Genomic DNA, 27,910 nt, shown 5'->3' with positions numbered 1-27,910 from the left:
GGTGCTAGAATTTACATTTTTCTCATTTTCATCTTGTGAGTTAGTAACTAGCTATGAAAGACTGTGATTTTCCTGTTTTTAGTCCCAGACCAGCATTCCATGGACAAAGACAGGCGCGTGACACCCAGGAGGAGCCAGGGAGGGTGCAGAGCCAGACACACGGCAGCCAGCAGTTAAATACATGGAGCAGGAACCAGCCTGCGGTGTCACAGCAGCCGCCTCAGCACCGGCCAACGAGCTCAACCAGGTGCACGTGGAACCAAAGACAAGCCCACTGACCACCAGAGCATGCCGGCCAGGACAAGGGAAGCGGTGTGACCAGCAGCCAGGCTTCTCCCTCCAGTCACCCCTTACAGCACCTGCAAGTAAAACCAGCAGGAACCTGGGGCCAGGGGGATTTTTTTTTTTTTTTTTTTTGCACCACATACTCGCTGCCCCTTTTAAAGAGCTATATCTTCAGGATCTTAAATTCTTTCATCCAAACTTCCAGGGGACATAGATCATGATTCGTCACACTTGGTTTTCCAAAAACTAAGAATTGTTGGTGGGATCCACAAATGCAAGATTTCTTTAAATAAAACCATGAATGCACCAAAAAACTCCATCCGTACGGGATCCCTAAGCGCGTGCTGACTTTGTCAAGCAAGGTGCTCATAAGCACAGCAGGGGTTGTCTCTGCACTGGAGGCGAAGCTCTCCCTGCCTTCGGTCTGCAGGCAGCTCCCAGGAGACCCCTGCAGTGACGTGAGTGCGTGTTTCGATACACCAATGGTGCACGCACACAGCTCATTTTCACACACAGAGACTCACTAATATTCCAAATCCCAGAAAAGCTCCTATTTTTACATGAAACCTACCACCATTTAATTTATCAAAACATTATGAAAAGGTTACAAAAACTGAAATTCACTCCACACGATCCTACGTCACTGGCACCAAGTGTGACCGAGACCATTTACAACCCAACCCCCAAGGCAAGTGAGGGTGGGGGCGCAGAGCAGGGCAGGGGTGCTCTCTGGACTCTGCCTGGACAAAAACCTGGGGGGCAGCACGAGAGCCAGCACAATGGGAGCTAGAGCCAGCAACCCAGAAACTCCAACCAAAGAGACGAGGTGGCCGCAACTCAGGAACGAAACCAGGATAACTGGGCTGCAGAGGAGTGGGTGCCATTCCCATTCTCTCACTCACTCTCTTTCACACACACACACACACACACACACACACCACACACCTACACATACAAGGACACCACATATACACACACCCCACACACAGATACACATTCGCTAGCCAGAAATTCACACAGTTAACACATACACACGGGCACACCACACATACACACTCAGACTCACACACCTACATACAGACACACACCAGACTCACACAGTTACACACACACCGAGATTCACACACCACATACACCACACACAGAAACACAGACTCACTGATACACATACGCACTTCAACTCTCCGTTCACATCTTATCTTCCTCCGTCAATCACGACCGCAGAATGGAAACGCTCCCCTGTGTGAATTCAGCCCACACTCTCCTGATGTTTTGCAAACGTTGCTCCACCTAACTTCCGTGGTTGTCAAAATTCCCTCCACCTCTCTTCTGATGTGTCGGAGCTCAGGAGGCGCCCAATGCAGAGAGAGCCTGGACCAGCACGAAGGTGTGGGCCCCATGAGCGTCTTCAGCGGGGAGGCACCGATTTGGATTATTTCTATTAACAAGTACTCAAAGTGACTCACAGATTAACACATGCATTTCTAAAAATCAAACCACAAGTAAAGAGCTGCTCACAAAGTCTGTTCTGTCCACATAATCTCTATTTCGCAACTGATCTGAGCTCAAGTGTTCTGGGAATTTACTAGACATAAAAGAGTCTCTAACTCAGAGAACCCTGTGGACGCAGCCCAGTACCTACCACTTGCAGGATGCTGGAGACACTCTCCCAGTCGGCCTCTGCGATGTTTGAGCCTCCGTCCACCATGCCCTGGTAGCCCTAGGGGAGAAAGGGAGAATCTTTTAAAAATGAGATAAACTTCACTAAATGGGAAGTGATCCTTAAATTATATAAAACGGGAAAAATGACAGTGAATGTCAGTTCCTCAGCATCCACTGGTCAGAAGACAGGGCAGTTCCAGCACTGGATAAAAGCAGTGAATTGTGGGAAAGTCCTCACCTTGAGTCCCTAGTAATGGGAACGTCTGCCTAGACTCAGCCTCACAGTGCAATGAGGAATCAAGCCATTCTCCTATGGCCCAGCGTTTCCCGAGAGGTTGAAAGGGTCGTGTTTCGCTAGAGGTTGAAAGGGGTCACTTTCACCCAACGTGTTTATCATACTTCAGCACAAACTCACAGGCACACAGCACTGTCGAGCACGGGACATACATGGGAGCATTTTGTCAGGGGCTCCGCCTGCCAAGGCACCCTGCGCCACTTGGGATGTATGTTGAATATTATTAAACAGCACAGCTGAATAATAATTGTCTGCCTTACCCTCCATTAATGACACGGTGCTGCATTAGGGAATCAGATATCAATATGTGAGGACACATTGATAGAAGAAGCCCAAGGACAATTACCTTTTTTTTTTTTTTTTTTGAGACGGAGTCTCACTCTGTCACCCAGGCTGGAGTGCAGTGGCGCGATCTCGGCTCACTGCAACCTGCCTCCCGGGTTGAAGTGATTCTCCTGCCTCAGCCTCCTGAGCAGCTGGGATTACAGGTGCCTGCCACTGCACCTGGCTAATTTTTGTAGCTTTTAGTAGAGACGGGGCTTCACCTTGTTGGCCATGCTGGTCTCAAACTCCTGACCTCATGATCCGCCTGCCTCAGCCTCCCAAAGTGCTGGAATTACAGGCGTGAGCCACCGCGCCTGGCCAACAATTACCTTTCAATGCTAAATGCATCCCCATCTTTTTCTCCACGGAATATACAAGATCAGGAAATGCAGCAATGCCCACGGGTAACTTCATCTACATAACTCACTTTCCACAGCATTTAATCTTAAGAAGGAATAACTATTAAGGATTTAGAAAAGTTCATGATAGATTATTGTTGGATCCATAAGCCCACCTTAGTGAAGGTCCGGAGGACAGAAAAAAGAAAGGTTTTTAAAATTGAAATGACTCATAGATTATGGAGTTCTATATATAAATTAATCAATAGTGCAGGCACCTTGATAGCTGGCCAATTTGTATACTTATATTTATAAATTTCTACCAGAAATATTATATATATATGTGTGTTTATTTTATTTTATTTTTGAGACAGAGTCTTGCTCTGTTGCCCAGGCTGGAGTGCAGTGGCACGATCTCGGCTCACTGCAACTTACATCTCCCAGGTTCAAGCAATTCTCCTGCCTCAGCCTCCAGAGTACTTGGGATTACAGGAACACACTACCACATCTGGCTAATTTTGTTTTTGTTTTAAAGTAGTGACAGGGTTTCACCATGTTGGCCAGGCTGGTTTCCAACTCTTGACCTCAAGTGATCTGCCTGCCTGGGCCTCCCAAAGTGCTGGGATTACAGGCGTGAGCCACCATGCCTGGCCACATGTGTGTTTATAATTTAGTGTCATACATGTAATAAACAAGAAAGGAGAAAACAGTCTGGAATGGAACAGAACCCAAAACAGAGCTGGTTCATTTCAGCGCTGGCAGCCCCGTCTGCACCTCCCGAGACCCCCCAGGCACCCAGGCCCTGGCTCACAGGCTGGTACAGGGACTGCCCATCACCAGGCCCCCTACCTCCATGGCAAAACAGCAGAACATCTTCTAAACACAGCCCAGTCTCACTCTAGGGATTATTATTATTATTATTGTCTCCCCTTGCTCTGAAAACAGATTTCCCTTGCAGTGCAGATGAGCCCAGTGTAGCCGTCCCCCGGAGGGCGAGGGTGAGCAAGTGTGAGGTCGGATGCAGACCTCGCCTCTGCACAGGGCACCCTGGGAGGCACCGTTTATGTTCTGTCCTGCTGCGGATGCTCTGTCCACACAAGGACTCACTGGTAACAGACGGTCATGTGCAAAGCCATGAATGACTCTTGGAGGCCATAATCCTCAGAATATTGTAAGTACAATAGGTAGGTAGGCGGGTGGGTGGATACATAAATAAAGAGATAACCTAGCCTTGGGGTTGCAGTTTCAGTGATCTCTACCACCCCAAACTCCCAGGTTTTTTTGTTTTTTGTTTTTTTGAGACGGAGTCTCGCTGTGTCACCCAGGCTGGAGTGCAGTGGCGTGATCTTGGCTCATTGCAAGCTCCGCCTCCCGGGTTCCTGCCATTCTCCCACCTCAGCCTCCTTAGTAGCTGGGACTACAGGCACCCGCCACCACGCCCGGCTAATTTTTTGTATTTTTAGTAGAGACGGGGTTTCACCGTGTTAGCCAGGATGGTCTCGATCTCCTGACCTCGTGATCCGCCCGCCTCGGACTCCCAAAGTGCTGGGATTACAGGCATGAGCCGCCGCACCCGGCCTCCCAGGTTTCTGCTAAGAATTATGCTTCATTCTGCAAGCACAACAGAGCGCTCCATTCTTCAGGTCTGGGAGCAACACTGAACAAACTGCCATCTGCAGTGATCCTGACTTTCCAGATTGACTTCCATGAAGCTCGGGGGGGCAAGGAAACAAGGAAGCAGGCATGTAGCCTGGGCCACCGTGAAACGGACCCTTCTTAGAGGCACGACCTCCCATCCTCCAAGCCCACATCTCAGGAGGAGAGAAAAGATGACCCATGATGGGGCCTGAACTGCAGCAGAAACCGGGACCTCCCTGAGAGGACTGGGATGTAGAGCGGCCGTAAACCTGGGGCTCCGGCAAAACTGAAACAGACAGTTCCTACATTCCCACACCCAGAGCTGTTGCGGTCATTTCTGTGCATGCAGTTTTTTGGTAAATAAAGAGACCGGGGGGAAGGTGCCAGTTCCGGCCGCCACCCTGCTGAAGAGGATGCCAAGGCCGCTGCAGCATCCTGAGGCCGTCTCAGGCCCAGGAGTCAACCATGCACCCCTAACGGCATCAGCTTTCAGAGTATTCCTGGAGCACGCGCTATCCCGGACGCTGCTTCCAAGTCAACCGCCACCCAGCATTTTACTAGTTAATATGCCATAGTGGGAACCATACAATTTCCTTTCCCTGCATGAGTTCACAGAATTTAAATACGGATTTAATCAAACATGTTAACGAATCCTCTTGCTTCTGGAGTAGTAAGAAAACTGCTCTGCAAACCACAACATTTTGAAAAGTAAAATGTTCTCTGAAAGTAATTTCATTATTTTGTGTTGCATAGATGCATGTGGCAAAGAAAGCCATTAAAAAATAGAAAGGGAGGGCTTTCTGAGTGCCACCTCCAATGCTCCCTGTCTAGTGCATGCGTGAGCTAAGTTGCTAGGAAATGACTCATTCTTTAATTTGCAAAGTCACGACGCCCATGGAACATGTGAAAAGCAACTACCAGCCGCAGTTCTAAGCCGTCTTTCACCAACAAGGAAGATATTACTAAATTAGGAAGACTCATTTTGCCCAAACGTACTACAACGTAGAAATTCAGATGAGTTTTCTCTTTTGAAGTCTTCTTAGAAGGCTGAATATTTATCTTACTACAGCCAAAGCCCAGACGTTTCCTAAAACACCCTTTTGGAATTTGCCTTCCAAGCCAGTTTTATGACTCACATAGGAAAAACAGAGCATAAAACCTTTAACCTTATCTCAGTTTTTTGGCCAAAGTAACATTCTCTGTCTTGTTGACTCTGACTCACAAGATGAACCTTAGAGCTCCTCGTTGGCTGTATCGGATCCATCGTCGGACAGAATTTTTTACGTTGAGTCATTCGATCACATCTAAGAACATGCCACAGGCTCTGAAGTCATTTCAACTTATTCGAAATTGTTTTGAGCTGTGTCAAAATAACCAGCCTTCTAACCATGTAGGAGATCATTCTATATGTAGAGGTGGTTTTGACTAGAATTTTTAGGCAATCGCCGAATCCATCATAAATGGAGTAAGCTAGTTCACCTATGCGCGTAGTTCACCTATGGGTGGCTTTCTCGGACGTCTCATATGTAAGTTTTTTTTTTTAAAGTTACAGACAAAGGGAAATTATACCGTTGTGTTGCAGCAGTAGGCTTTTTCTTTCAGAATGCTTGTTGCATGGGTCCATGTGTCTTCTCAACTGGATAATGCTTTTTTCCAATCTGATTTCCTGAATTCTTCACTCAACTAACTCCAAATGGTGAACATTCCAACTACCAGAATAAAACAAGCTCCTAGAGATAACAGACTTTAAAAGTGCCTTCCAGATAGTGTTATCACCAGCTTCCTGCAGACATAGTTACTGCATCCAGAGATGTAGGGGCTTTGCTGCTTCTGAGTAAATACTATTTTTTTTGTTTCCTACAGAATCAAGCTTTCCCTAGTTTAATCCTTTTCCCTCCCCCACAGAACCTAAAGCTACAACATTCCTTAATAAATTAAAGCATTTCACTTTTAGAATTCAGAGCATGCATGCAGAGGTCAGCTCTGAACGGCTCTCTAGGCTTAGACTTGGGAAACACCAGCGTTCCAAACTAGGTGTGCGAGAAAGAGAGGCGGCAGGAATTTCACTATGTCAATGGTTTTCAAAGGCCAGGAATCGTGGCTTTATCCTGTCTCTAGGAAATTCAGAGGCAGAGCCTGAGATTAAACAGCCCCACACCAACACACATCCCAAGCCCTGCTCACCTCCCCACCAACACTCTGAAGGAACGCTCTTGTCCAGAGACCCTACCAATCACCCCAGCAAAGCACCCTCACTGATTTCATTACTTGATAGAAAATTTCTATAGAGCAGCCTCAGGATTTCTTCTTGGGAGACTCAGTCAACTGTAAAATTCTAAAATAGGTTAGCACACGACACACCATCATGTGGTCCTGCACTTGCTTCTTTGGAAGACCAATAATGCAACAGCATGATGTATTTAGCCCTCTGGCATCACAGATTTCTTTAAGCCAAAGCTAAGAGTGCACAATTCCGGTAAGTTGTACAACCAACAGCCCCAGCAGGAGCGAGGCCGGTCGCCCTTCCTCCCCTGTAGAGAGAGGGTCCCAAGCACTGGCCTGGCAGTGACCTTACAGCAAACCCCACCTTGAGGCTCATTCAGCTGACCACAGTGGTGGGGAGGTGGTGGTGAAGGGAGATGGTGCTCTTCTGCAGTTTGAAATGTTCACTGAAACTAGATTGTCTGAAGCCACAGGCAATGGTGTAAATGGTGGTGGGATGAAGGCAGATCATACATGAAGAATTCAGCATGGGACCTGGCTGGCATATAAACATGTAATAAAAGATAATGCTACGACAGATGCGGTGGCTCACGCCTGTAATCCCAGCACTTTGGGAGGCCAAGGCGGGCGGATCACAAGGTCAGGAGATGGAGACCATCCTGGCTAACACGGTGAAACCCCACCTCTACTAAAAATACAAAAAATTAGCCGGGTGTGGTGGCGGGAGCCTGTAGTCCCAGCTGCTCGGGAGGCTGAGGCGGGAGAATGGCGTGAACCTGGGAGGCGGAGCTTGCAGTGAGCTGAGATTGCGCCACTGCACTCCAGCCTGGGTGACAGAGCAAGACTCTGTCTCAAAAAAAAAAAAAAAAAAAAAAAGATAATGCTTGTTCCTGTGGTTATCGTCACCCTGGATGTGTCAATTTTGTTGGACAATGTTCCAACGATAGGCAGGGAGTGCAGAGCAGAACCAGGCCACCTCAACTGGTCTTCTAGGAGTCAGCCAGCTCGGTGAGCACGCACGCGTGTTAGTGGAAGGCATGGGCTCTGGTAAAGACCCTGTAGAGTCAGGTCGGGAACAGCTACACGTAAGAAACTGCACAGTGCTGTGCTCAAGCATCACTTATTTTTAGACAGAAGTGGAGTGGTTGAGTAGTTTTCACTTCAAGGAAGTTAATGGGCAGAAATAGTTATGTTTAAAACATCAAAGAGATGTGACTGAACGGGATGTGGACAACCTTGCTTGGTCTTTCAACACTGTTGGGGGAAGGTGGGGGTGACAGTCAGGGATGGGAGGGGTGAGACAGAGATTTAAAAAAAAAAAAATCAGACACAGTCCCAGAAGTCAGGGCCAATGCTGTCACCTGCTCTTTGTCTTGCCAACTAGTTTCCACGGCCAGCCCCTTCCACACATCCCAGGAGCGGGAGCTCAGGCTTCCGTGGTCACCCCCATCCACACATCCCAGGAGTTCAGGCTTCTGTGGCCACCCCCTTCCACACATCCCAGGAGCAGGAGCTCAGGCTTCCATGGCCACCCCCCTACCCCCATCCACACATCCCAGGAGCTCAGGCTTCCGTGGCCACCCCCATCTACACATCCCAGCAGCTCAGGCATCCTCCAGATTAGGAGAGGTCCCCCACACCCCTTTCCTCAGACAGGGGAGCACCAGCACTTCTGGGGAAAAGGTGTTTATTTTGGGTCACAAGTGTGAGATTTCTCACTTTAAAAATTGTAAAAGCAGGAGCTTCATTTTAACCCAAAAGAAATATTTCCTATGGCTAATGAAGAATGAAGGGTTTCTATCAGGAAGGGAAAGGTTTTTTTCCCCCATATTTTTTCAATTTTATTGACACATATAATTTTACATATTTGTGGGGTACATGTGAGTATCTGTTGCATGCACAGAACCTGTAATGACCAAATTAGGGTACTGGGGTGTCTGTCACCCTGGGTATTTTTAACTTCAACCCATTCAGAACATTTCCAGTCCTCTCCCCCAGCTGCTCTGAAATACATTAATATAATACGCTGTTGCTAACACAGCCAGCCTACTCCGCTATCAACACTGGAACCTACTCCTATCTAAGCATATGTTTGCACCCATCCACCTCTCTGCATCCCCTCCTGTCCACACCCCCTTCCCAGCCTCTGCTATCTACATCCTCCTCTCTACCTCCACGAGACCAACTAAAGAAGGGAAGCATGATGCCAATCAATTCATTGATAAGTTAATGGTTTGTTTATTGGTATAGTAAGTCAAGCTGTAATGCTCAGGGCTGAAACAAGGGAAGCTAAGATCACATGCTGATATTTCAAGCTCAGAAGGGTTGGCCAGTCTGGGTGCAGGGACAGGGCTGCTGACCGGGGGCCATGGGGAGATGGAGACCCTCGGGCACCTGAGCTAAGCTTGGGGGCCGGTGGCGGGGGTCAGGTGGCACAGGCTCCATGGCAGCACATCTGGGAAGACCAGAGGCTGGATGCTGATGCTGTACCAACACCCTTTATCCTTTCAACATAAAAAGGCATCACTTATCTGACACCTTTTGAATGTGTTATTTTTAATCATGGAAAAAACTAGCGATAAAATGATCAGAATTATTCCTAGCCTTTCTTTAGGGTGTGGACTATGACAAAGACAGCTCTGATATTGTTTACAAACAGCTGTCTAGAGCAGAACCAAACTTTAAAACAAACAAAAAATTAAGATAAAAGACTTTTTTCTTTTTCTTTTTTGACACAGTCTCGCTCTGTCACCCAGGCTGGAATGCAGTGGCGCAATCTAGGTTCACTGCAACCTCCACCTCCTGAGTTCAAGCCTCAGCCTTCCAAGGATTACACCACGCCCAGCTACCTGTTGTGTTCTTAGTAGAGACGGAGTTTCGTCATGTTGGCCGCGCTGGTCTTTAACTCCTGACCTCAAAGGATCCATCCGCCTCAGCCTCCCAAAGTACTGGGACTACAAGTATGAGCCACGGTGCTCGGCAAGAATCTTAAGTGAGTCATATTTGAAGAGCTATAATAATATGAACAATTTCTGAAATCTGCAGAAGAATATTCAACAACAGGATATGAAATTCATGAATGAAACCAAATGCAAGGAGCCGACTGTTTCCTGCAGACACAGTGGCAGCCCTGGATTAACCAACTGACTCGCCCCAGCTTGGTTTGGACCCACCAGAGCCAGGGTAGTTTACCCTGGGCATGGCCTTTGGGTCAAAGCATCTGATATACTTAGTATCATCATCTCCAAGAAGCTAAAGCCATTTGTAGGCTTCTAAGGAAAAACCTTAGCTTAAGAGAAAAAAGAAAGAAGCAACAATTGGTTCACCAGGTAGAAAGGAATGGGTTAACTGGCAAACCCTCCCCGAGTCTCCCTGGAATGCAGCCCAAGGCTTGGCATGCTTCACACGTAGGCTTGGCCCAGGTTTATAGGAGCTCAAGCAGCGGCCAGACAGCAGAGGTCCCTCGATGAAGGCCAGGCTTTCAGCAGAAACGCCACTGTTCCCAGGTTAATACTTTCTTCACACATGCACTACTGAAGGAAAAAACAAACCCCTTTAATTAATAGTAACCTGTTTAACTGTCCTGGTCTGTTGGTAACCCAGAGAGCTCTAGGTTAGAAACTAGAGTATAGGTGAAAAAAATCTGTTGGATAAATTACTGAGTCATCCTTAAAAAAATAAAACATAATATCCCCTCAATTTGAGCCCAAATAGGTCTAGAACAGCGGTCCCCCAAAAGAGTGATTTTCCCCCCATAGGACGTTCGCCGATGTTGGAGATACTGTAAGGACATCTTTGACTGTCATGACTATGGGGTAGGTGGACACAGGGGTGCTGCTCCGCATCCTGAGAGTCAAAGGACCGCCCACCAAGAATTGCCCACCCCAGATGCCATCGCCCTGACACTCAGAGAGAAGCCCAGCCTGTGGGTATGACGCAGAGACCAGGCCGGGGAGGGGGCTGAGCCTCTTCAGTGCAGAGCCATCTGTGAATAGATGTGTTCAGGTGCAGACCCCGTTTCCCTACCTGGCCACACACCCATGGAGTCAAAGGCATGCGCGTCTCATCCCTGAAAAGCAGTCAAACAGCTCCTCTGCCCCGTTAGTCTCAGACTTTTCCAAGTCCTTTCTACCAGGGAGACAGGAGGGCAAACACCATTTCTACTGCACAGATGAGCACACAGAAATGAAAGGTTGATTTATGCATCCACAGTCACTGCAGTACGTCCTGCAGGCCCACGATGGCTCACCCAAAACCCAGGTCTGAGAGGCAGGCCAGGACTCAGAAGACTTGGGATTTTAAAAAGCAGGTTTTCTAATGGCTTAAAAATATTCCATTGCGTATATACGCCACATTTTATCCACGCACCCACTGATGGCCACTTAGACTGATTCCACATCTTGATACACAATGGAATATTATTCAGCCAATAAAAAAGAATGAATCCTGTCATTCTGAGCAACATGGATGGAACAGGCAGAAATTAGGTGAAATAAGCCAGGCACAGAAAGACAAATACTGCAATCTCTTACTCATACATTTAAGCTTAAATAAAAAATTGATCTCATGAAGACAGAGTTAGGATTGATCTCGTGGAGACAGAGAACAGAATGATGGTTACCAGAGGCTGGGAAAAGTAGAAGGAAGCAGGGGTGTAAAGAAGGATGGTTAATGGGTAAAAAACAGTTTGAGATAGAAGGAATAAAATCCAGGGATGAGTGATACTATGGAGCGACTACAGTTAATAATGTATAATAATGTTTAATAATATATAATAATGTTATACATAATGTATAACATTGTATACGATATGTATAATACATATATAATTCATATTATACATAATGTATAATAATATATACATAATATATATTCAAAATAATATTTCAAAATAACTAAAAGAGTAAAATTGGAGTGTTCCTAACACAAAGAGATGATTGTTCTTGAGGTGATGGATATGCTACTTACCCTGATTTTATCATGATGCATTGCATGCTTGTATGAGACTATGACATGCATAGAACTCCCCCACAAGCCAGCAGCCCCACTGCTGGGCATATACCCCGAGAAAGGGAATCGGCAGAAAGAGACCTCCGCACTCCTACATTCACTCCCCATCACAACAGCCCAGTGTGGAATCAGCGCCCGTCAGCGGATAAATGGACAAAGAAAACGTGGTGCACGCCCACAACACAACACCGTTCACCCATAAAGGAGAAAACCCCATCATTTGTGGCAATGGGGATGAAAGTGCTTTACTGTTAAGTGAAATAAGCCAGGCATATGGGCGTGGTGGTTCATGCTTGTAATCCCGGCACTTTGGGAGGCCCAGGAGGGCAGGATCACCTGAGGTCAGGAGTTTGAGACCAGCCTGGCCAACATGGTGAAACCCCATCTCTACTAAAAATAAAAAAATTTAGCCAGGCGTGGTGGTGGGTGCCTGTAATCCCAGCTACTCAGGAGGCTGAGGCAGGAGAATCGCTTGAACCCGGGAGGCAGAGGTTGCAGTGAGCGAAGACTGGGCCATTGCACTCCAGCCTGGGCAACAGAGCAAAACTCTGTATGGAAAAAGAAATAAGAAATAAGCCAGGCATAAAAAGAGAAACATTGCCTGTTCTCACTCATACGTGGGAGCTAACAGAGTTGATCTCATAGAGACGAGAACTGCAATTATCAGAGGTATGGAAGGGGAGGGGTGGGGAAAAGCAAGGATAAAAGGGAAGAAGACTATATTTCTGAACTCTATGCCCACAAATAGTAAAGATGGTAAATGATATATGCATATTTTACTTCAATAAAATAAATTTTAAAAAAATCACATGTACCCCATAAATAGGTACAACTATTATGTATCCATAATAATTAAAAATAAAAAATGTTTTAAAAAGCAGTGAGTGTTACTGCACCCATACTCTGGGCCCTTGGGAGTGCACGGCATCAAACCCACCCCTGCAAAGAGAGGTGGGAGCCGTCACCTCGGCTGGGTGACGGGATCACCCCCAGGCAACGCGCTCCAGGTCAGCCGGGGCTTTGCTGCCCAGTTAGGAAAACACTCACAGATTTTAGTGTGTTTTCTATCTTAGAATTAAAGACTTGGAACCACCCCAAATGCCCATCAGTGATAGACTGGATTAAGAAAATGTGGCACATATACACCATGGAATACCATGCAGCCATTAAAAAAGGATGAGTTCATGTCCTTTGTAGGGACATGGATGAAGCTGGAAACCATTATTCTCAGCAAACTATCGCAAGGACAAAAAACCAAACACCACATGTTCTCACTCATAGGTGGGAATTGAACAATGAGAACACATGGACACAGGAAGGGGAACATCACACACCGGGGCCTGTTGTGGGGTGGGGGGAGGGGGGAGGGATAGCATTAGGAGATATACCTAATGTAAATGACGAGTTAATGGGTGCAGCAAACCAACATGGCACATGTATACATAGGTAACAAACCTGCACGTTGTGCACATGTACCCTAGAACTTAAAGTATAATGTAAAAAAAAAAAAAAAAAAAAAAGAATGAAAGATACAGGATTTTTATATCTGTAACAGCAAAATGATGATACCATAAATGGATTCAACATTTATTGCTACAGCTGGTTATAGAACCCACCACTCATACAAAGTCCTGGCGGTCTGAGGGTCCATGAGAATTTATGTTCCCAAGACGCCCAGAGGTAGGTGCCTGGGCTACACTGGAGGAAGGTGAAGAAATGGACCCGTTCACTAGGATTTCCCACCTTCTGGGGCAGGTGGGGAGGGTGCCAGAGAGGAAATTTGGGCTCAAATGAGCTGATCCCCAGGCTGCTCCTATCTTCCTCAGTAAGATAATTCCAAAAGCCTGATCATTCTTTGTGCCAAAATTCATAAACAGTCCATTCAGCTCTGCTCCTAGACAGCTTCGAAGGTGCCACTTACTATAAAAGTTATCATAAAAATTAGAATTCCCCCAAAACACCATTTGCACACAAGGATTTATTTTGGCCACATCTCAGCAGAAGAATTGCAGAAATTCCGTGAATTTCCCTAAAGGAAATGAGATCTCAGAGTCAGAACCCCTCCTTCCCCACCGAGGGCAGGGGCAGGAAGAGGCGCTGTCCCCGCCAGACAAGGTTGTCCAGACCTCGTCCAGACAGCACCTGCGGCCATGGAGTCACATGGATGGGCCTCAGAGCCCCAGCCCTCCCAGCTGAGACAGAGAGAACATATGGGTTTTACCTCCCAAGAAAGCCCAGGGCCTCTGAGCCAGGTGAGGTGCCTCACACCTGTAATCCCAGCACTTTGGGAGGCCAAGGCAGGTGAATCACTTGAGGTCAGCAGTTCAAGACCAGCCTGGCCAACATGTTGAAACCCCGTCTCTACCAAAAATACAAAAATTAGCCAGGCACGTAATCCCAGCTACTCAGGAGGCTGAGGCAGGAGAATCGCTTGAACCTGGGAGGTGGAGGTTGCAGTGAGCTGAGATCACACCACTGCACTCCAGCCTGGGCGACACAGGGCAAGACTCTGTCTCAAAAACAAACAAACATCAGAGAAAGCCCAGGGCCTCTGGGGTAGGCCTCCCAGTGTGTTCCATACCAACTCCTTAATTCTGGTACATACCACACAGACAGCAGGCACAGGTCTGAGGACATCTGAATCCCACCAGGAAACAGACGGGCGACTACAGCACACAGTGACCAATAAAAATCAGACACCCGACAATCGCCACAAAAACACAACCCTTACATCAAGAGAGATTAAAGTGGGCCAGGGACTGCATCCAAGATTAGGCCCTCACACTCCCCTCGGCCTCACTCCCCACCCCTCCCCAGCTAACAACATTCAAACCAAACACAGTGTGCGCTTGGTTTAGTGCAGGGTCCCTCGGCCTTGTTTCTACCAACATTTGGGTCTGGACCATTCTTTGTGGGGTGTGGTCCTGTCCATCGTAGGATGTGCGGTAGCATCACTGGCCTCTCCCCAGTACATTCCAGGGGCAATCCTTTCAATAATGGCACAATCAAAAAATGCCTCCAAACACTGGTAAACGTCCTAAGGGGGTAAATCACTCCCTACTCCCGGCTAGAGGCCAGGGGTCGGGGACCGAACTCTGTTCCTGGCCCTGAACATGCTGAGTGGTGACGCGGAGAAAGTGAACTAAGGTAAGTCAGTTTATCTGTGAAATAAGAGAAGTGATTTCCTTCCTTTCCTCTGCACCCAGAGTCCCTGTGAGTGTTCAGGCCGCCACTTCTGTGAGGGAACTAACTTCCACTCAACACACAACAGCGTCAGGGCCGCGGGAACAGGAGCAGCCGTGAAAATCACAAGGCATCCTGGGAAACATTCTGTGAACTACAAGTCTTCATGAATTTAAAAACATTTTGCGAATTATAACAGAAAAACCTCCTCCCAGGATACTCCATCCCCAAACAGCTTTTAAAACCACATTTCTGTACTAAGAGCAGCTCTCAGGACGGGTGTGGTACTGTCTCCCAAAGTCCAAGGCAGATCACACCCACCCTCTCCCCCGCCCACCCAAAAAAAGGCAGAGGGAACAAATTCAGTATGCACATGTATATGCTCCAGCAGCAGCGGAAACTAAGCTGGTCTTCGTCAGGTGCAGGTGACCGCCACTTCTGGAAGTCTGTGTGCAAATTCCAGCGCTGGGGGCAGGGTGGAGGACAATGCTGGGGAGGGGGCGGAGGACTGTGCTGGGGAGTGGAGTGGGGGACTGTGCTGAGGAGGGGGTGGAGGACTGTGCTGGAGAGTGGAGTGGGGGACTGTGCTGGAGAGTGGAGTGGGGGACTGTGCTGGAGAGTGGAGTGGGGGACTGTGCTGGGGAAGGGGTGGGGGACTGTGCTGGGGAAGGGGTGGGGGACTGTGCTGGGGAAGGGGTGGGGGACTGTGCTGGGGAAGGGGTGGGGGACTGTGCTGGGGAAGGGGTGGGGGACTGTGCTGGGGAGGGAGTGGGGGACTGTGCTGGGGAGGGAGTGGGGGACTGTGCTGGAGAGTGGAGTGGGGGACTGTGCTGGGGAGGGGTTGGGGGACTGTGCTGGGGAGGGGTTGGGGGACTGTGCTGGGGAGGGGTTGGGGGACTGTGCTGGGGAGGGGTTGGGGGACTGTGCTGGAGAGTGGAGTGGGGGACTGTGCTGGAGAGTGGAGTGGGGGACTGTGCTGGAGAGTGGAGTGGGGGACTGTGCTGGAGAGTGGAGTGGGGGACTGTGCTGGAGAGTGGAGTGGGGGACTGTGCTGGGGAGGGGGTGGGGGACTGTGCTGGGGAGGGGGTGGGGGACTGTGCTGGGGAGGGGGTGAGGGACTGTGCTGGTGAGCGGGTGAGGGACTGTGCTGGAGAGTGGAGTGGGGGACTGTGCTGGGGAGGGAGTGGGGGACTGTGCTGGAGAGTGGAGTGGCGGACCGTGCTGGGGAGGGAGTGGGGGACCGTGCTGGGGAGGGAGTGGGGGACCGTGCTGGGGAGGGAGTGGGGGACCGTGCTGGGGAGGGAGTGGGGGACCGTGCTGGGGAGGGAGTGGGGGACCGTGCTGGGGAGGGAGTGGGGGACCGTGCTGGGGAGGGAATGGGGGACCGTGCTGGGGAGGGAATGGGGGACCGTGCTGGAGAGTGGAGTGGGGGACCGTGCTGGAGAGTGGAGTGGGGGACCGTGCTGGGGAGGGGGTGGAGGACTGTGCTTGGGACGAGGTGGAAGACTGTACTGGGGAGGAGATGGAGGACTCTCCTGGGGAGGGGGTGGAGGACTCTCCTGGGGAGGGGCTGGAGGACTCTCCTGGGGAGGGGCTGGAGGACTCTCCTGGGGAGGGGCTGGAGGACTGTGCTGGAGACCGCGTCTACTGTGCTCATTCCACATCCCTGAGCAAGGGGCAGCTGCCACCAGGGCCAGGGTCCAGGCAGGGAAACTCAGGAGGGCAATCTGACCTTAAAAACACCCAAATATAAAATGATAAAAACAACAGCCTGGGAATGCTACAGCTAGACCCTCCGTTAAAATTGCCCAAATCGCATAAATACAAACAATAACCACGTAACCAGTTTAATTGAATAAAAGCAAACAACAATGACACGAACAAAAAAACCTCTTTCCAGCAAATGATAAACAAATGGATACACAGATAAATGAGCAAAGAATAATAGTAGCAACCATTTCACCAAAGGGAAACATGGCTTAGAAAGCAGACAGGGGAAACCTGCCAGTGCTCAGAAGGCCGCCGCACACAGCGGCACACAGCATCATCATGGGAGCTAGAGCACCGCCTTCCCTGCGCGGGGCTGGGACGAGGCTGGACAGGTTTCAGGAATTACTTAGGCAAGAGGCATCCCAAGCCATCATGATGACTGTCCCTTTTAGCTCAGTCGGTGCCTGATATTAGGACCAAGGTATTAAATAATACAAAACATCAAATCGCTTTGAATATTAACATAGATCTTGCAGTGTTACAATAGCTTAAAAAACGGGGAGAAAGCTAAATAGTGCAATACCACAGGAATGGTGGAATACAGGGTCCATCATAAATGATGAGACATCAATTCAACAAGACAGTATGTTGACATTTAAAGCAACAGTTGGCTGGGCGCGGCGGCTCACACCTGTAATCCCAGCATTTTGGGAGGCCAAGGCAGGCAGATCACCTGAGGTCAGGAGTTCGAGACCAGCCTGGCCAACATGGTGAAACCCCATCTCTACTAAAAAACACAAAAATTAGCTGGGCATGGTGGCAGGCACCTTAATCCCAGCTATGTGGGAGGCAGATGCAGGAGAATCATTTGAATCTGGGAGGCGGAGGTTGCAGTGAGCCAAAATCAAGCCATTGCACTCAAGCCTGGGGGACAAAAGTGAGATTTTTCTCAAAAAAAATAAAATAAAATAAGTTAAAGCAACAGTCGTGAAACCTACGTAGTGAAAAGTCATGACATAATCGTAAACAAAAAACACAGTATACAGAACGTGTTTGCTGTACTTTTCCTAATGTGTGTGTTTCTTTCCGGTGTTTTACATACGTCATACTGAAGGAAATCAGACTAAAACACTAATAGCCATTTTGGAGGCATTAAGTGATTTACAAAAATACCTTCTTCTCATTTTTAAAGCTATGTTTTATAAATTTAAACATTAAATATTTTTCCTAATAATTTCTGAAATTAATACTGTGATCCAAACTCTATTGGTGCCTTCCTTTCAAATACTTTTTAGTCTTAAGTTGCCAGGACTTCAAAAGTGGCAGACAGGGAGTCACTCCTGCTATTTAACACATCAGCAGACACTAGGCATCGTTTCCACCTTACATGAATGATGAAAAGCTCAAAGTGGCTGTTTTCCTCATTTCCCTAAATGTGTATTCAAATTCAGCCTACATTGGAAATTAATAAATCACTTCTACAGCAGTAAGAGCCTCAGACAAATACAACCAACCAACCAATACAACCAATTAGAGATCATTGGTTGATTTCTAATCCTATAAATCAACACCAGGAAGTTGATATCAACATGGCCTTTTGTGGCTGGGCACAGTGGCTCACACCTGTAATACCAAAACTTTGGGAGGCCAAGGCGGGTGGATAGCTTGAGGACAGGACTCAGACCAGCCTGGCCAACATGGTGAGACCCCTTCTCTACTAAAAATACAAAAAATTAGCTGGGTGTGGTGGTGGGCACCTGTAATTCCATCTACTCATGAGACTGAGGCAGAAAATTGCTTGAACCCAGCAGGTTGCAGTGAGCCAAGATCGTGCCTCTGCACTCCAGCCTGGACAACAGAGCAAGACTGTCTAAAAAAGAAAAAAAAGAAAAAAGAAAATGGCTTTTTGGGCTCCCTCTCATCTCCTTTCTCCTCTTGCCTAACAAAAAACTTGCAGACCAGGCATCTGTCCCTGCAGACCAGGGGCTTCTGTGGGCTGAGGAACGGCCCTGGCTGGCAGGATCTTGCTCCCCTGCCCACCTCTTCGGCTGTGCTCAGCATGGGGGAGGCAGGGGTGAGCGAGCGCCGGTGACTGCAGGGCTCTGGGCAGGTGGAAGAAGGGCGACAGGGGGTGAGGGGCAGACACTGACCTCGTAGATGAAGTACACCTTGGCCCCCACGTAGATACCCATGCGCACCACGGCACGGACGGCAGCGTTCATACCTGCAGTGGAAACAGGAGCAAGAGTCACTGAAGAGCCCGGGGTAATTCTGGCTCTGCCACTAACTACCCATGACCATGGGTCCGTTTCCTAACCTCTCAATGCCTCATTTCCTAATATGAGAAATGGGTACACACACTCCTCTGGGATTAGGGTAAGGACTAAAAGAAACAGCCAACGTAACGCAAGGTACCCCCATGCCCAGGCTACTTTCTGTTCAAAACATCACTGCCTGGACTTGGTACGAATTTGTAGGCCACTCCATTCAACTGCAAAACGAAGTACAGAATAGGGGTTTATTTGCAGCTAGCCAAATTCTGTGTGTGTGTGATTTGAGAAGGAGATGAAAAATGGAGTATCACATCACCAACTACCACTGTAAAAAAAAAAAAAAAAAAAAAAAAAAAAAAAAGGCAATGGGCTTCAACAGAAAACAAGTCATGCAATTTTATTATCAGTAAAGTTAAAATAAACCAGCATATTACAAATAACCATACCTCATGAAGATAAAGGGAGGCCCCCCTTGAGAAGAACAGTGTTATACAATGTATCATCATATAAGTCTGTTTACAATGTATCATCATGTAGGTCTGTTTACAATGTATCATGTCTATTTACAATGTATCATATAAGTCTGCTTACAATGTATCATCATATAAGTCTGCTTACAATGTATCATAAGTCTGTTAGCCTCCACCTAGCTCTCCACTGCCGCTGGATTTGGGGGAGCTGAAGCCACTAGTGTCTCGGAACCACCTCTGGGCCTGGAGGGTCTGTCTTGCTGTCGTGGCTAACAAGCTCAGGCCCATCGGGAGAGGAGTGAAAAGGCACGAGGGCCGCACCCACAGCCATGCAGCGCTGCTGCTTAAGGATGAGGAACACCTGAGCCTTCAGTGCCTTTGCTCCCAAACACACCTGAGAGCACCAAGCTTCCTCCTCTGCAAAGTTAAGTTTCAGAAACAGCTGTCAGAACTAAAGATGCTGCAGTTCGTGGGCCATGAAGCCAGTGATGTTTCCAGTCAATAAACCACAAATGAAAGGACTGTGGTCCTGCAGGGGCATCTGTGACAGAGGCAGGCTATGTGCACTTGGACGGTGACCGGCTCAGAAGATGCTTAGAAAAATCTTCAATTACATTGGGCCAGGTCAGCGATGCTGGAGTCACCATTGCCTCTGAAAGTTGACAATTCTGAATGAGAGTATCTATTTGGCTGAAAAACCTTGGGGATACATATTTTAGAGGTAAATGCATGTTTACTATGTATCTAACATGTATGTATATGTATGTGTGTATATATATATTACATAGTCTTATTTACTTTATATTCAAACCTAGCTTATAACACAAAGAATTCGAATGACCTACTGATTAACTAGTGGCCATCTCTCAAGAACATCAAACTCAGCATTTCAAAATGCAGGTCATCTCACCCTGATCATTTCCTCCTCCCGCTGTAACCTCTCTCTTGCCGAACAGCACAACTTTCTTCTCTGTCTCTGGCGCTGAATGCTGCTAACACCCTTGCTGGCTCCTGCCCATACAACCAACACCTGCTCCCAACATTACCCCCGACTCCCTGACTCCCTCTGACATGAGCCACACTGTGGCCAGAAGGATTACAACAGCTTTTTCTCTTTCATTTGCTTTTATGCAAATAATTTATGAATATATTCTTCTTGTTTAGAAAAAAAACAAATGAAGTAACAGCCACAAGAGCCCCACCCCGTTGGAGAGCTGGGTATGGGGACGGTGCCTTGCTGTTGGGCTGTGCGAGTTTCACACTTGTTATTTCTTTCTACACTTTGACACTACGTCCGAGATGTTTTCCATACCAGTTTCAATATTCTCTTTTTTTTTTTTTTTTTTTTTTTTGAGACGGAGTCTCGCTCTGTCTCCCAGGCTGGAGTGCAGTGGTGCAATCTCGGCTCACTGCAAGCTCCGCCTCCCAGGTTCACGCCATTCTCCTGCCTCAGCCTCCTGAGCAGCTGGGACTACAGGCGCCCGCCACCACGCCTGGCTAATTTTTTGTATTTTTAGTAGAGACGGGGTTTCACCGTGTTAGCCAGGATGGTCTCCATCTCCTGACCTTGTGATCCATCCGCCTCAGCCTCCCAAAGTGCTGAGATTACAGGCTTGAGCCACTGCACCCGGCAATGTTCTCTTCTAAAGCACGAATATGACCGCGTTCCTCCAGGTTCCCAGGGCTACTGGAAGAAAACCCAAGTTCCCCTGAGCTCCCGGCCATGCCCCAGGGACCTCCCACCTGTCTGGCAGCACTCGGAGGCTCCTGTTCCTGAACCTTGGTAGCAGTCCCACCAGTGCTCTTGCTCGGACGCTCTTCCTCCTCCAACTCCTCCTCGGCTCTGGCACCTCCCAGGAAAAGGGCCTGGCTTGCCTCCCACCTGATTCCATTTATTCGTGGCAGGACAGAGCCTCCCACCTGATTCCATTTATTCCTGGCAGGACAGAGCCTCCCGCCCCCTTGGCCTCACACCTGTGGAAGGTCCTCGCTCATCTCTCCCATGGCTGGGCTCAGCAGTGCCTGGACTCTTCAACTCGAAGGGTGGACGCACAGCTCTGGTTCCAGGACCTTACGCTATGGTCACTCTAATGGATGAATTACCCATCAAACACAGCCCGTGCCAACACTAGGAAGCAGGTGATGCAGGAGCACAACTAAGACCCAATGGCGGCCCCTCACCCCTGCTCCTCTTCCCCCCCCCCCCACCCCGCTCTCTGAAGACCTCGTTCCCACCGGTCTTTCATAAAGGAATGATGAAGAACTCGGGGATTTTAGGAAATGTTAAGTGGAAAGACATAGAAGAAGGAATAAAATTCTTAAAAGCTGGACATGAGGCTGGGCACGGTGGCTCACGCCTGTAATCCCAGTGCTTTGGGAGGCCTAGGTGGGCAGATCACGAGGTCAGGAGATCGAGACCATCCTGGCTAACATGGTGAAACCCCGTCTCTACTAAAAATACAAAAAATTAGCCAGGCGTGGTGGCGGGCACCTGTAGTCCCAGCTACTCGGGAGGCTGAGGCAGGAGAATGGCGTGAACCCGGGAGGTGGAGCTTGCAGTGAGCTGAGATCATGCCACTGCACTCCAGCCTGGGCGACAGAGCGAGACTCTGTCTCAGAAAAAAAAAGCTGGACATGATACACAAGGTGACCCCAGGAGACTCCTGTGCAGAGTAAAAATGCACCCCAGCACTAAACTCAATCGCTGAAGTCCCTGCTGGATTCTCCCCACCCCCACTCCGGGTTCACCTGCACCCACCTGGAAAGAACAGTGACACCACCCCACAGCAGGAGCTCACCATCAGCGGCCGCAGCACCCCCATGTAGCTGGGCTGCCCCCGGGTTTCACAGGTGGAGAGGGAGCCTGGGAACTTGCATTTCTAGCAATTTCCAGGTGATGGGGGCACCACACTTTTAAAGAGACACAATTCTAGGTCCTGAAAGGACTTCTATTAATTTATGCATTGGTAGGATGGAGCCATGCATTGCAAAGGGCTTTTATTCATGTGTCCTCCTTGAGCTCAGGGACTGGCAGCACTCGGTGGGGCCCAGTAGGACGTCCCTTGCTGACTGCAGACCCACAGCCAGAGCCCTGGCCTGGATGTTTCTCACAGGAAGCCTGCAGAGCTCCTGACACCTCCCTGGAGGGATGAGAAAGCTGAGGCTCTTAGGGGGATAAACTGATTACTGGAAGGTAACAACATTAGTAAGCGGTGAAGCTGTAGTGTAAACCCTAGTCTTATTTCATTTTAACTTTCAAGCCTTCCTAATTTCCTCTATTACAATGCCTGTGCCTCAGAGTCACCAATGGGAACTTGAAGGAAAATAATACCTGCTGAGGCCAGATGCTCATTTAATTGCCTGGGAGTGGAGACTGTTTAGTTCTAAGCCCTCCCTCTGAACTTCTGAACAGTGAGGACTGCAAGTCAGCTGCCTCCTGCTGGGCCCTGCAAGATGAAACCTGAGGAAGCCCCAGGAACATTCAGTGAGGGGTTTGGAGGGAGAAGAACACTGGTGGATGAAAAGCAAGGGGGAAATATACCAGCATTTACTGGCGGGCTGTCACCCACAGGACAGGGACGAAGACGTGCACACCTGCAATGCAGGCAGACGTGCACACCTGCAATGAGGGCTTTCACAGCCCGCAACGTGGGCTTTTGGCGTCACAGGTAAAAGTCACCTGTTTCACCATTTCCTTAGGGCTGTCCGTGGGCCCTGGCACACAGCCATTAAGGGACAAAGGGCAGTTTCAGAGTCTTTCACTCAACACTCAAGCCACAGATTGTCCAAATAGCTCAGGCATCCTGGGGCTAATCCATCTGGTTTTGTTTTGGTTTTGGGAGCCCAACCCAAGGATTTCCAGGAGAAAATAACATCTTCCTACCAAAGAAGAACCTTAACATTTGGAAAAACACCGCTTCGTAATTTGCAAAAATCCCAGTTTTCAGGGAAGTGAATATCTTGTCATGAGAACCAAAAATAAAGTTGGAGATAATGAGGGAGCGGTTTCATAGGAAAGATCTGGTCATTACTCTGACCAATTATTAAATCGCTTTCTTCATATGCCGTACTTTTTAACAGCTTCTTACTAAACCACAATGCAGGTAAGAGAGTCACAGGACGGTTTCTTCCTTGAGTCAGAGTCATCCTTGGCCTACACCAGGGCCTAGCAAGCATGACTTAAGTCACCCTTATTTCCTGGCTACTTGGAGGAGCTGGATTTCCCAGTTTACAAATCTCAGTTTCCTGGGATTCTGCTCTGATAAAATCTAAATTGCATTTTTTTTTTAAAAAGTAAGGAATAGGCCAGGCACGATGCCTCATGCCTGTAATCCCAGCACTTTGGGAGGCCAAGGTGGGCGGATCACGAGGTCAGGAGATCGAGACCATCCTGGCTAACAGGGTGAAACCCCATCTCTACTAAAAATACAAAAAAAAAAATTAGCCGGGCATGGTGGTGAGCGCCTGCAGTCCCAGCTACTTGGGAGGCTGAGGCAGGAGAATCGCTTGAACCCGGGAGGTGGAGGTTGCAGTGAGCCGAGATTGCGCCACTACACTCCAGCCTGGTGACAGAGTGAGATTCCATCTCAAAAAAAAAAAAAAAAAAAGAAAAAAAAAAAGTAAAGAATAGATGAACTCTAATGAAATAATCTGGGTCTATCTTTTACCTCCTCCATTGTCTGGAGTAATAAAGCTCCCTGCCTCGCCCTCTCTCACAGCACTGAGCCACTTTTCCTGAATTTTCCCACACTCCTGATCACTCACTTGTTAATTTCAATGCATAAATTCTTTTTGAGAAATAAAGTCAGTTTGCCGACTCCTCCCGCTGCTTTGTTAGAAAATGAGCTTACACCGCGCTGATCTCACTACTGCTGCCAAAGTTCCTTCTAGGGGTCTTTCCTTTGATAATGTAGGGATTATGTAGGCATGGGGAGGTGGGATGCCAAAGGCAGATTCTGTCAAGGTGCTGTTCCCTCCCCACCCCTGCCAGTTCAAAGTCATCGAACTGGGGGGCCTCTCTGACCTCCTGGACTGTGCAGACCACCGTGTCTTCTAGTAGGGTCAGGGGAGGGCTTGAGATAAATCTGTAGGGCTCTTCACTCAACCACCAACCCACTGTCCAGCTCGGGTGCCCCAAGTGCCACCTCTGCTGGGCTCTGTGTGGATGCATCAGTGACAAGATGGGAAGCCTCTGGCCCTGGAAGAGCTTGTTCCGATCAGGAGAGACCCGAAAGCAAGAAACACAGTGAACAAATGCATGATGCCCATGGATGGATGGCCGTAAGTGCTAAGGAGAAAAATAACAAGCGGGGTGGGGGGTGTTGAGGGTGTGGAGGACAGGGAGGGGCTGCCATTGACAATCGGAGAGCCTGCAGACCTGCCTGAGAGTGACGTTTGGAGAAAGAAGGAAAGGGAAGAAGTTGAGGGAGTTTAGCCAAATGGACATCTGGGAAAGAGCTCAGGTAGCAGAGGGGCTGGGGCGGGGGCGCGGCGGCAGCATGCTGCATTCCAGGGTCCTCTGCGTGGCTGGGACAGTGTCGGCCCTCCCCTGCACATCCCTCAGAGCCTTCGCAAAAACACCCACATGGGGACCTTCTAAATACAGGCAGCACACGCCACCCATTGCGTGACCACACTGTCCCTCAGAGGAGCCGCTGGCCACGTGCGTCCCGTCCACATGGAGATGTGCTTTAAGCTTCTTTACACACTGGGTTTCAAAGACTTACTACGGAAAACAGTGTAAAATATGAATAATCTACAATAATTGATTGTTATCAAAATAGTGGATTGAATATAAAACATAGTTTTTTGCTTTTACCGGTTTTTACTTTTTTTTTTTTTTTTTTTTTTTGAGACGGAGTCTCGCTCTGTCGCCCAGGCCGGACTGCGGACTGCAGTGGCGCGATCTCGGCTCACTGCAAGCTCCGCTTCCCGGGTTCACTACTTTTTTTTTTTTTTTTTTTTGCGATAGGGTCTCACTCTGTTGCCCAGGCTGGAGTGAACTGGTGCAGTCACAGCTCACTGCGGCCTCCAACTCCTGGGCTCAGGCAATCCTCCCACCTCAATCTCCCACGGGGCTGGGACTGTAGGTGTGCACCGCCACGCCTGACTAATTGTTTTGTATTTTTTGTAGAGACTAGGTCTTGCCATGTTGCCCAGGCTGGCCTCAAACTCCTGGGCTCAAGTGATCCACCTGCCTTGGGCTCCTGAAGGGCTGGGATTACAGATGTTGAGTCTTGGCACCCAGAGTCCCCCACTCCCGGCCCCCTGCCCCGCCTTTCTTTAATGCGGCAACTAGATCATTTAAAATTGCATATATAACACAGGCCACCCACATGCAAGCCTCACTCTTGGGAGATTCTCCCGTTGGAGAAACCTCCAAGAAGCTGATCTGCCTGGATTTGCAAACTGCCCCACTGGCTCCAGAGGGAAGCCGCTCTGGAATCGGCTCTTCAATACTGCCCTTGAGTATACTGTGTACCTCTTGACTTTCGACCAGCACAAAGCTCCTTATTAAACGCTGACAAAAATTCCTTCCATTCTGTTGGGAGCAGGCCCCCCCAAATCTGGCCATAAACTGACCCTAAAACTGGCCATAAACAAAATCTCTGCAGCACTGTGACACGTTCATAACGGCCCTAACGCCCAGGCTGGAAGGTTGTGGGTTTATGGGAATGAGGGCAAGGAGCACCTGGCCCACCCAGGGTGGAAAACTGCTTAAAGGCATTCTTAAGCCACAAGCAGTAGCATGAGATATGTGCCTTAAGGACATGCTCCTGCTGCAGTTAACTAGCCCAACCTATTCCTTTAATTTGGCCCATCCCTTCATTTCCCATAAGGGATACTTTTAGTTAATTTGATATCTGTAGAAACAATGCTGATGACTGGCTTGCTGTTAATAAACACGTGGGTAAATCTCTGTTCTGGGCTCTCGGCTCTGAAGGCTGTGAGACCACGGATTTCCCACTTCACACCTCTATTTGTGTGTGTGTGTCTTTAATTCCTCTAGCGCCGCTGGGTTACGGTCTCCCCGACTGAGCTGGTCTCGGCACATTCCAGGTGCCATAATGGAATTAATTAATCTCCTATTGATAGTTTTTTGCTGGTTTTCCCACTTTTTGCTATTCTAAGCACTGCTATGAAGATTCTCCTTTAACCCCCACCTGCCTGTGTCTGTTGGAGCTCACATGCTCTACCTTCCAGCTGTAACAGCTGAGTGCCCATTCACCCCAAGCCCTGACACACTCAAGTCTCTGGGTCCCCTTGGCGGGATGTGTCTGTGGACACAGGGCTGCCCTGCCACGTGCCCCACCCCATAACCTTCCATCTGTGGCCTGCTCCTTGTGATACCCTAAACTTGTGGCCTCCCCTCCCCTCCTCTCCTCTCCACAAAGCCACCCTTATCGGAGACAGTCAGTCTGCTTCCCTCCACCTGCTTCCCAGTTCACCCAAGGCAAAGCCAAAGTCCTCCACTGGGCCACTCTCCTCTACGGACTCCTCCCTCACTGTCAGGTCAGGTCAAAGGGCCCCAACCAGAGGTTCCCCTGGGCCCTTTCATAAGACAGGAGCTTTTCCTCTCAGGTCAGGCTACAGGCACGTCGTACCCGCACCTCACCACAGGAGTGACAGCTCCAGGCAGAAAGGGCCTGGTTCTTTTGCCAAAATCCTGTCCTGACTCACCCAAGGCAGTCTGTTAACATGCACAATGATTACAGAAACACAGAAATAAGGCTGGGTGCAGTGGCTCCAGCCTGTAATACCAGCACTTTGGGAGGCCAAGGCAGGTGGATCACTTGAGGTCAGGAGTTCGAGACCAGCCTGACCAACACGGTGAAACCCATCTCTACTAACGATACAAAAAAGATCAGGTGAGCATGGTGGCGCATGCCTGTAATCCCAGCTACTTGGGAGGCTGGGACAGGAAAATCGCTTGAACTCAGGAGGCGGAGGTTGCAGTGAGCCGACATCAAGCCACTGCACTCCAGGCTGGGCAAGAGGGCAAGATCCCGTCTCAAAAACAAACAAACAAACAAACAAAAAAAACACACACACACACAGAAATAAAATCTTAATCGTAGTAAGACACAGCTGAAAAGATATGAAGGACTGACTCCCCGAGGCTACTGCATGCCACCCTTTCAATCATTTTCCATTCAGGAAACTTCGGATCAGATCATTTACATATGTACGTTTAGACAAGGGGTCCTATATTAATGAATCTTCTCTGTCAAAATCCTGGTCAAAGTCAGAAAACAATCCCATGGGACTCCTGGGAGCATCTCACATTGGGGAAACCTGGAGAAGTGGAGAAGCTGATCTGCCCGATTTGCAAACCGCTCCACTGGCCCCAGGGGGTCCAGCAGCACCGGTGCCCTCCCCGTGAGAGTCGGAGCCTCACTCAGACCCACACAGTCAGGATCTACACCTCCGCAGGCTCCCCTAGGCATCTCTGGGCACACGGAGGCTGGGAAAATAGCACACGGGCCCTGGGGTTGGGGG

At 48.8% G+C, this 27,910-nt stretch overlaps 1 protein-coding gene across 12 annotated transcripts in view, besides 11 other annotated features; it reads right to left on the bottom strand.

The window, feature by feature from the left end:
• Nucleotides 1–27,910, bottom strand: part of PFKP (phosphofructokinase, platelet) — a 69,258-nt gene that overhangs the window by 35,526 nt on the left and 5,822 nt on the right. For 11 of the 12 annotated variants that reach the window (XM_005252466.5, NM_001323071.2, NM_001410880.1 and 8 more), the window contains 2 exons: nt 18,819–18,892; nt 1,928–2,005 (listed from right to left, as the gene is read on the bottom strand). In XM_005252466.5, coding sequence (XP_005252523.1) covers nt 1,928–2,005; nt 18,819–18,892 — 152 coding nt within the window. Of the gene's footprint in view, nt 1–279; nt 360–1,927; nt 2,006–18,818; nt 18,893–27,910 lie in introns of all 12 variants that reach the window. The other variant, NM_001242339.2, reaches the window with a different exon arrangement.
• Nucleotides 4,930–6,129: an enhancer, noted in NCBI's record as "CDK7 strongly-dependent group 2 enhancer chr10:3137343-3138542 (GRCh37/hg19 assembly coordinates)". NCBI's record gives its function as "activates an origin of replication core promoter dependent on BRD2, BRD4, P300/CBP, MED14 and CDK7 cofactors, with strong dependence on CDK7, by STARR-seq in HCT116 cells {active_cell/tissue: HCT116}" and the evidence as "EXISTENCE:reporter gene assay evidence [ECO:0000049][PMID:35650434]".
• Nucleotides 7,989–8,108: an enhancer, noted in NCBI's record as "active region_2907". NCBI's record gives its function as "activates an Ori minimal core promoter by ATAC-STARR-seq in GM12878 lymphoblastoid cells {active_cell/tissue: GM12878}" and the evidence as "EXISTENCE:reporter gene assay evidence [ECO:0000049][PMID:35858748]".
• Nucleotides 7,989–8,875: a biological region, named in NCBI's record as "H3K4me1 hESC enhancer GRCh37_chr10:3134597-3135394".
• Nucleotides 8,078–8,875: an enhancer, noted in NCBI's record as "H3K4me1 hESC enhancer chr10:3134597-3135394 (GRCh37/hg19 assembly coordinates)". NCBI's record gives its function as "activates a minimal SCP1, AML or CMV promoter by ChIP-STARR-seq in naive H9 embryonic stem cells {active_cell/tissue: H9 hESC(naive)}" and the evidence as "EXISTENCE:reporter gene assay evidence [ECO:0000049][PMID:30033119]".
• Nucleotides 9,410–10,609: an enhancer, noted in NCBI's record as "CDK7 strongly-dependent group 2 enhancer chr10:3132863-3134062 (GRCh37/hg19 assembly coordinates)". NCBI's record gives its function as "activates an origin of replication core promoter dependent on BRD2, BRD4, P300/CBP, MED14 and CDK7 cofactors, with strong dependence on CDK7, by STARR-seq in HCT116 cells {active_cell/tissue: HCT116}" and the evidence as "EXISTENCE:reporter gene assay evidence [ECO:0000049][PMID:35650434]".
• Nucleotides 9,730–9,929: an enhancer, noted in NCBI's record as "active region_2906". NCBI's record gives its function as "activates an Ori minimal core promoter by ATAC-STARR-seq in GM12878 lymphoblastoid cells {active_cell/tissue: GM12878}" and the evidence as "EXISTENCE:reporter gene assay evidence [ECO:0000049][PMID:35858748]".
• Nucleotides 16,505–16,673: a silencer, noted in NCBI's record as "fragment chr10:3126799-3126967 (GRCh37/hg19 assembly coordinates)". NCBI's record gives its function as "represses an EF-1alpha promoter that drives an FKBP-Casp9 reporter gene in an ReSE screen in K562 erythroleukemia cells {active_cell/tissue: K562}" and the evidence as "EXISTENCE:reporter gene assay evidence [ECO:0000049][PMID:32094911]".
• Nucleotides 22,606–23,541: an enhancer, noted in NCBI's record as "NANOG-H3K4me1 hESC enhancer chr10:3119931-3120866 (GRCh37/hg19 assembly coordinates)". NCBI's record gives its function as "activates a minimal SCP1, AML or CMV promoter by ChIP-STARR-seq in naive H9 embryonic stem cells {active_cell/tissue: H9 hESC(naive)}" and the evidence as "EXISTENCE:reporter gene assay evidence [ECO:0000049][PMID:30033119]".
• Nucleotides 23,995–24,558: an enhancer, noted in NCBI's record as "H3K4me1 hESC enhancer chr10:3118914-3119477 (GRCh37/hg19 assembly coordinates)". NCBI's record gives its function as "activates a minimal SCP1, AML or CMV promoter by ChIP-STARR-seq in naive H9 embryonic stem cells {active_cell/tissue: H9 hESC(naive)}" and the evidence as "EXISTENCE:reporter gene assay evidence [ECO:0000049][PMID:30033119]".
• Nucleotides 24,559–25,123: an enhancer, noted in NCBI's record as "H3K4me1 hESC enhancer chr10:3118349-3118913 (GRCh37/hg19 assembly coordinates)". NCBI's record gives its function as "activates a minimal SCP1, AML or CMV promoter by ChIP-STARR-seq in naive H9 embryonic stem cells {active_cell/tissue: H9 hESC(naive)}" and the evidence as "EXISTENCE:reporter gene assay evidence [ECO:0000049][PMID:30033119]".
• Nucleotides 27,330–27,831: an enhancer, noted in NCBI's record as "H3K4me1 hESC enhancer chr10:3115641-3116142 (GRCh37/hg19 assembly coordinates)". NCBI's record gives its function as "activates a minimal SCP1, AML or CMV promoter by ChIP-STARR-seq in primed H9 embryonic stem cells {active_cell/tissue: H9 hESC(primed)}" and the evidence as "EXISTENCE:reporter gene assay evidence [ECO:0000049][PMID:30033119]".

Source organism: Homo sapiens, chromosome 10, assembly GCF_000001405.40.
Source record: "Homo sapiens chromosome 10, GRCh38.p14 Primary Assembly".
NCBI classification, from domain to species: Eukaryota; Metazoa; Chordata; class Mammalia; order Primates; family Hominidae; genus Homo; species Homo sapiens.
The sequence above is the reverse complement of the archived record's forward strand: the minus strand, read 5'-3'. Positions and strand labels throughout refer to the sequence as shown.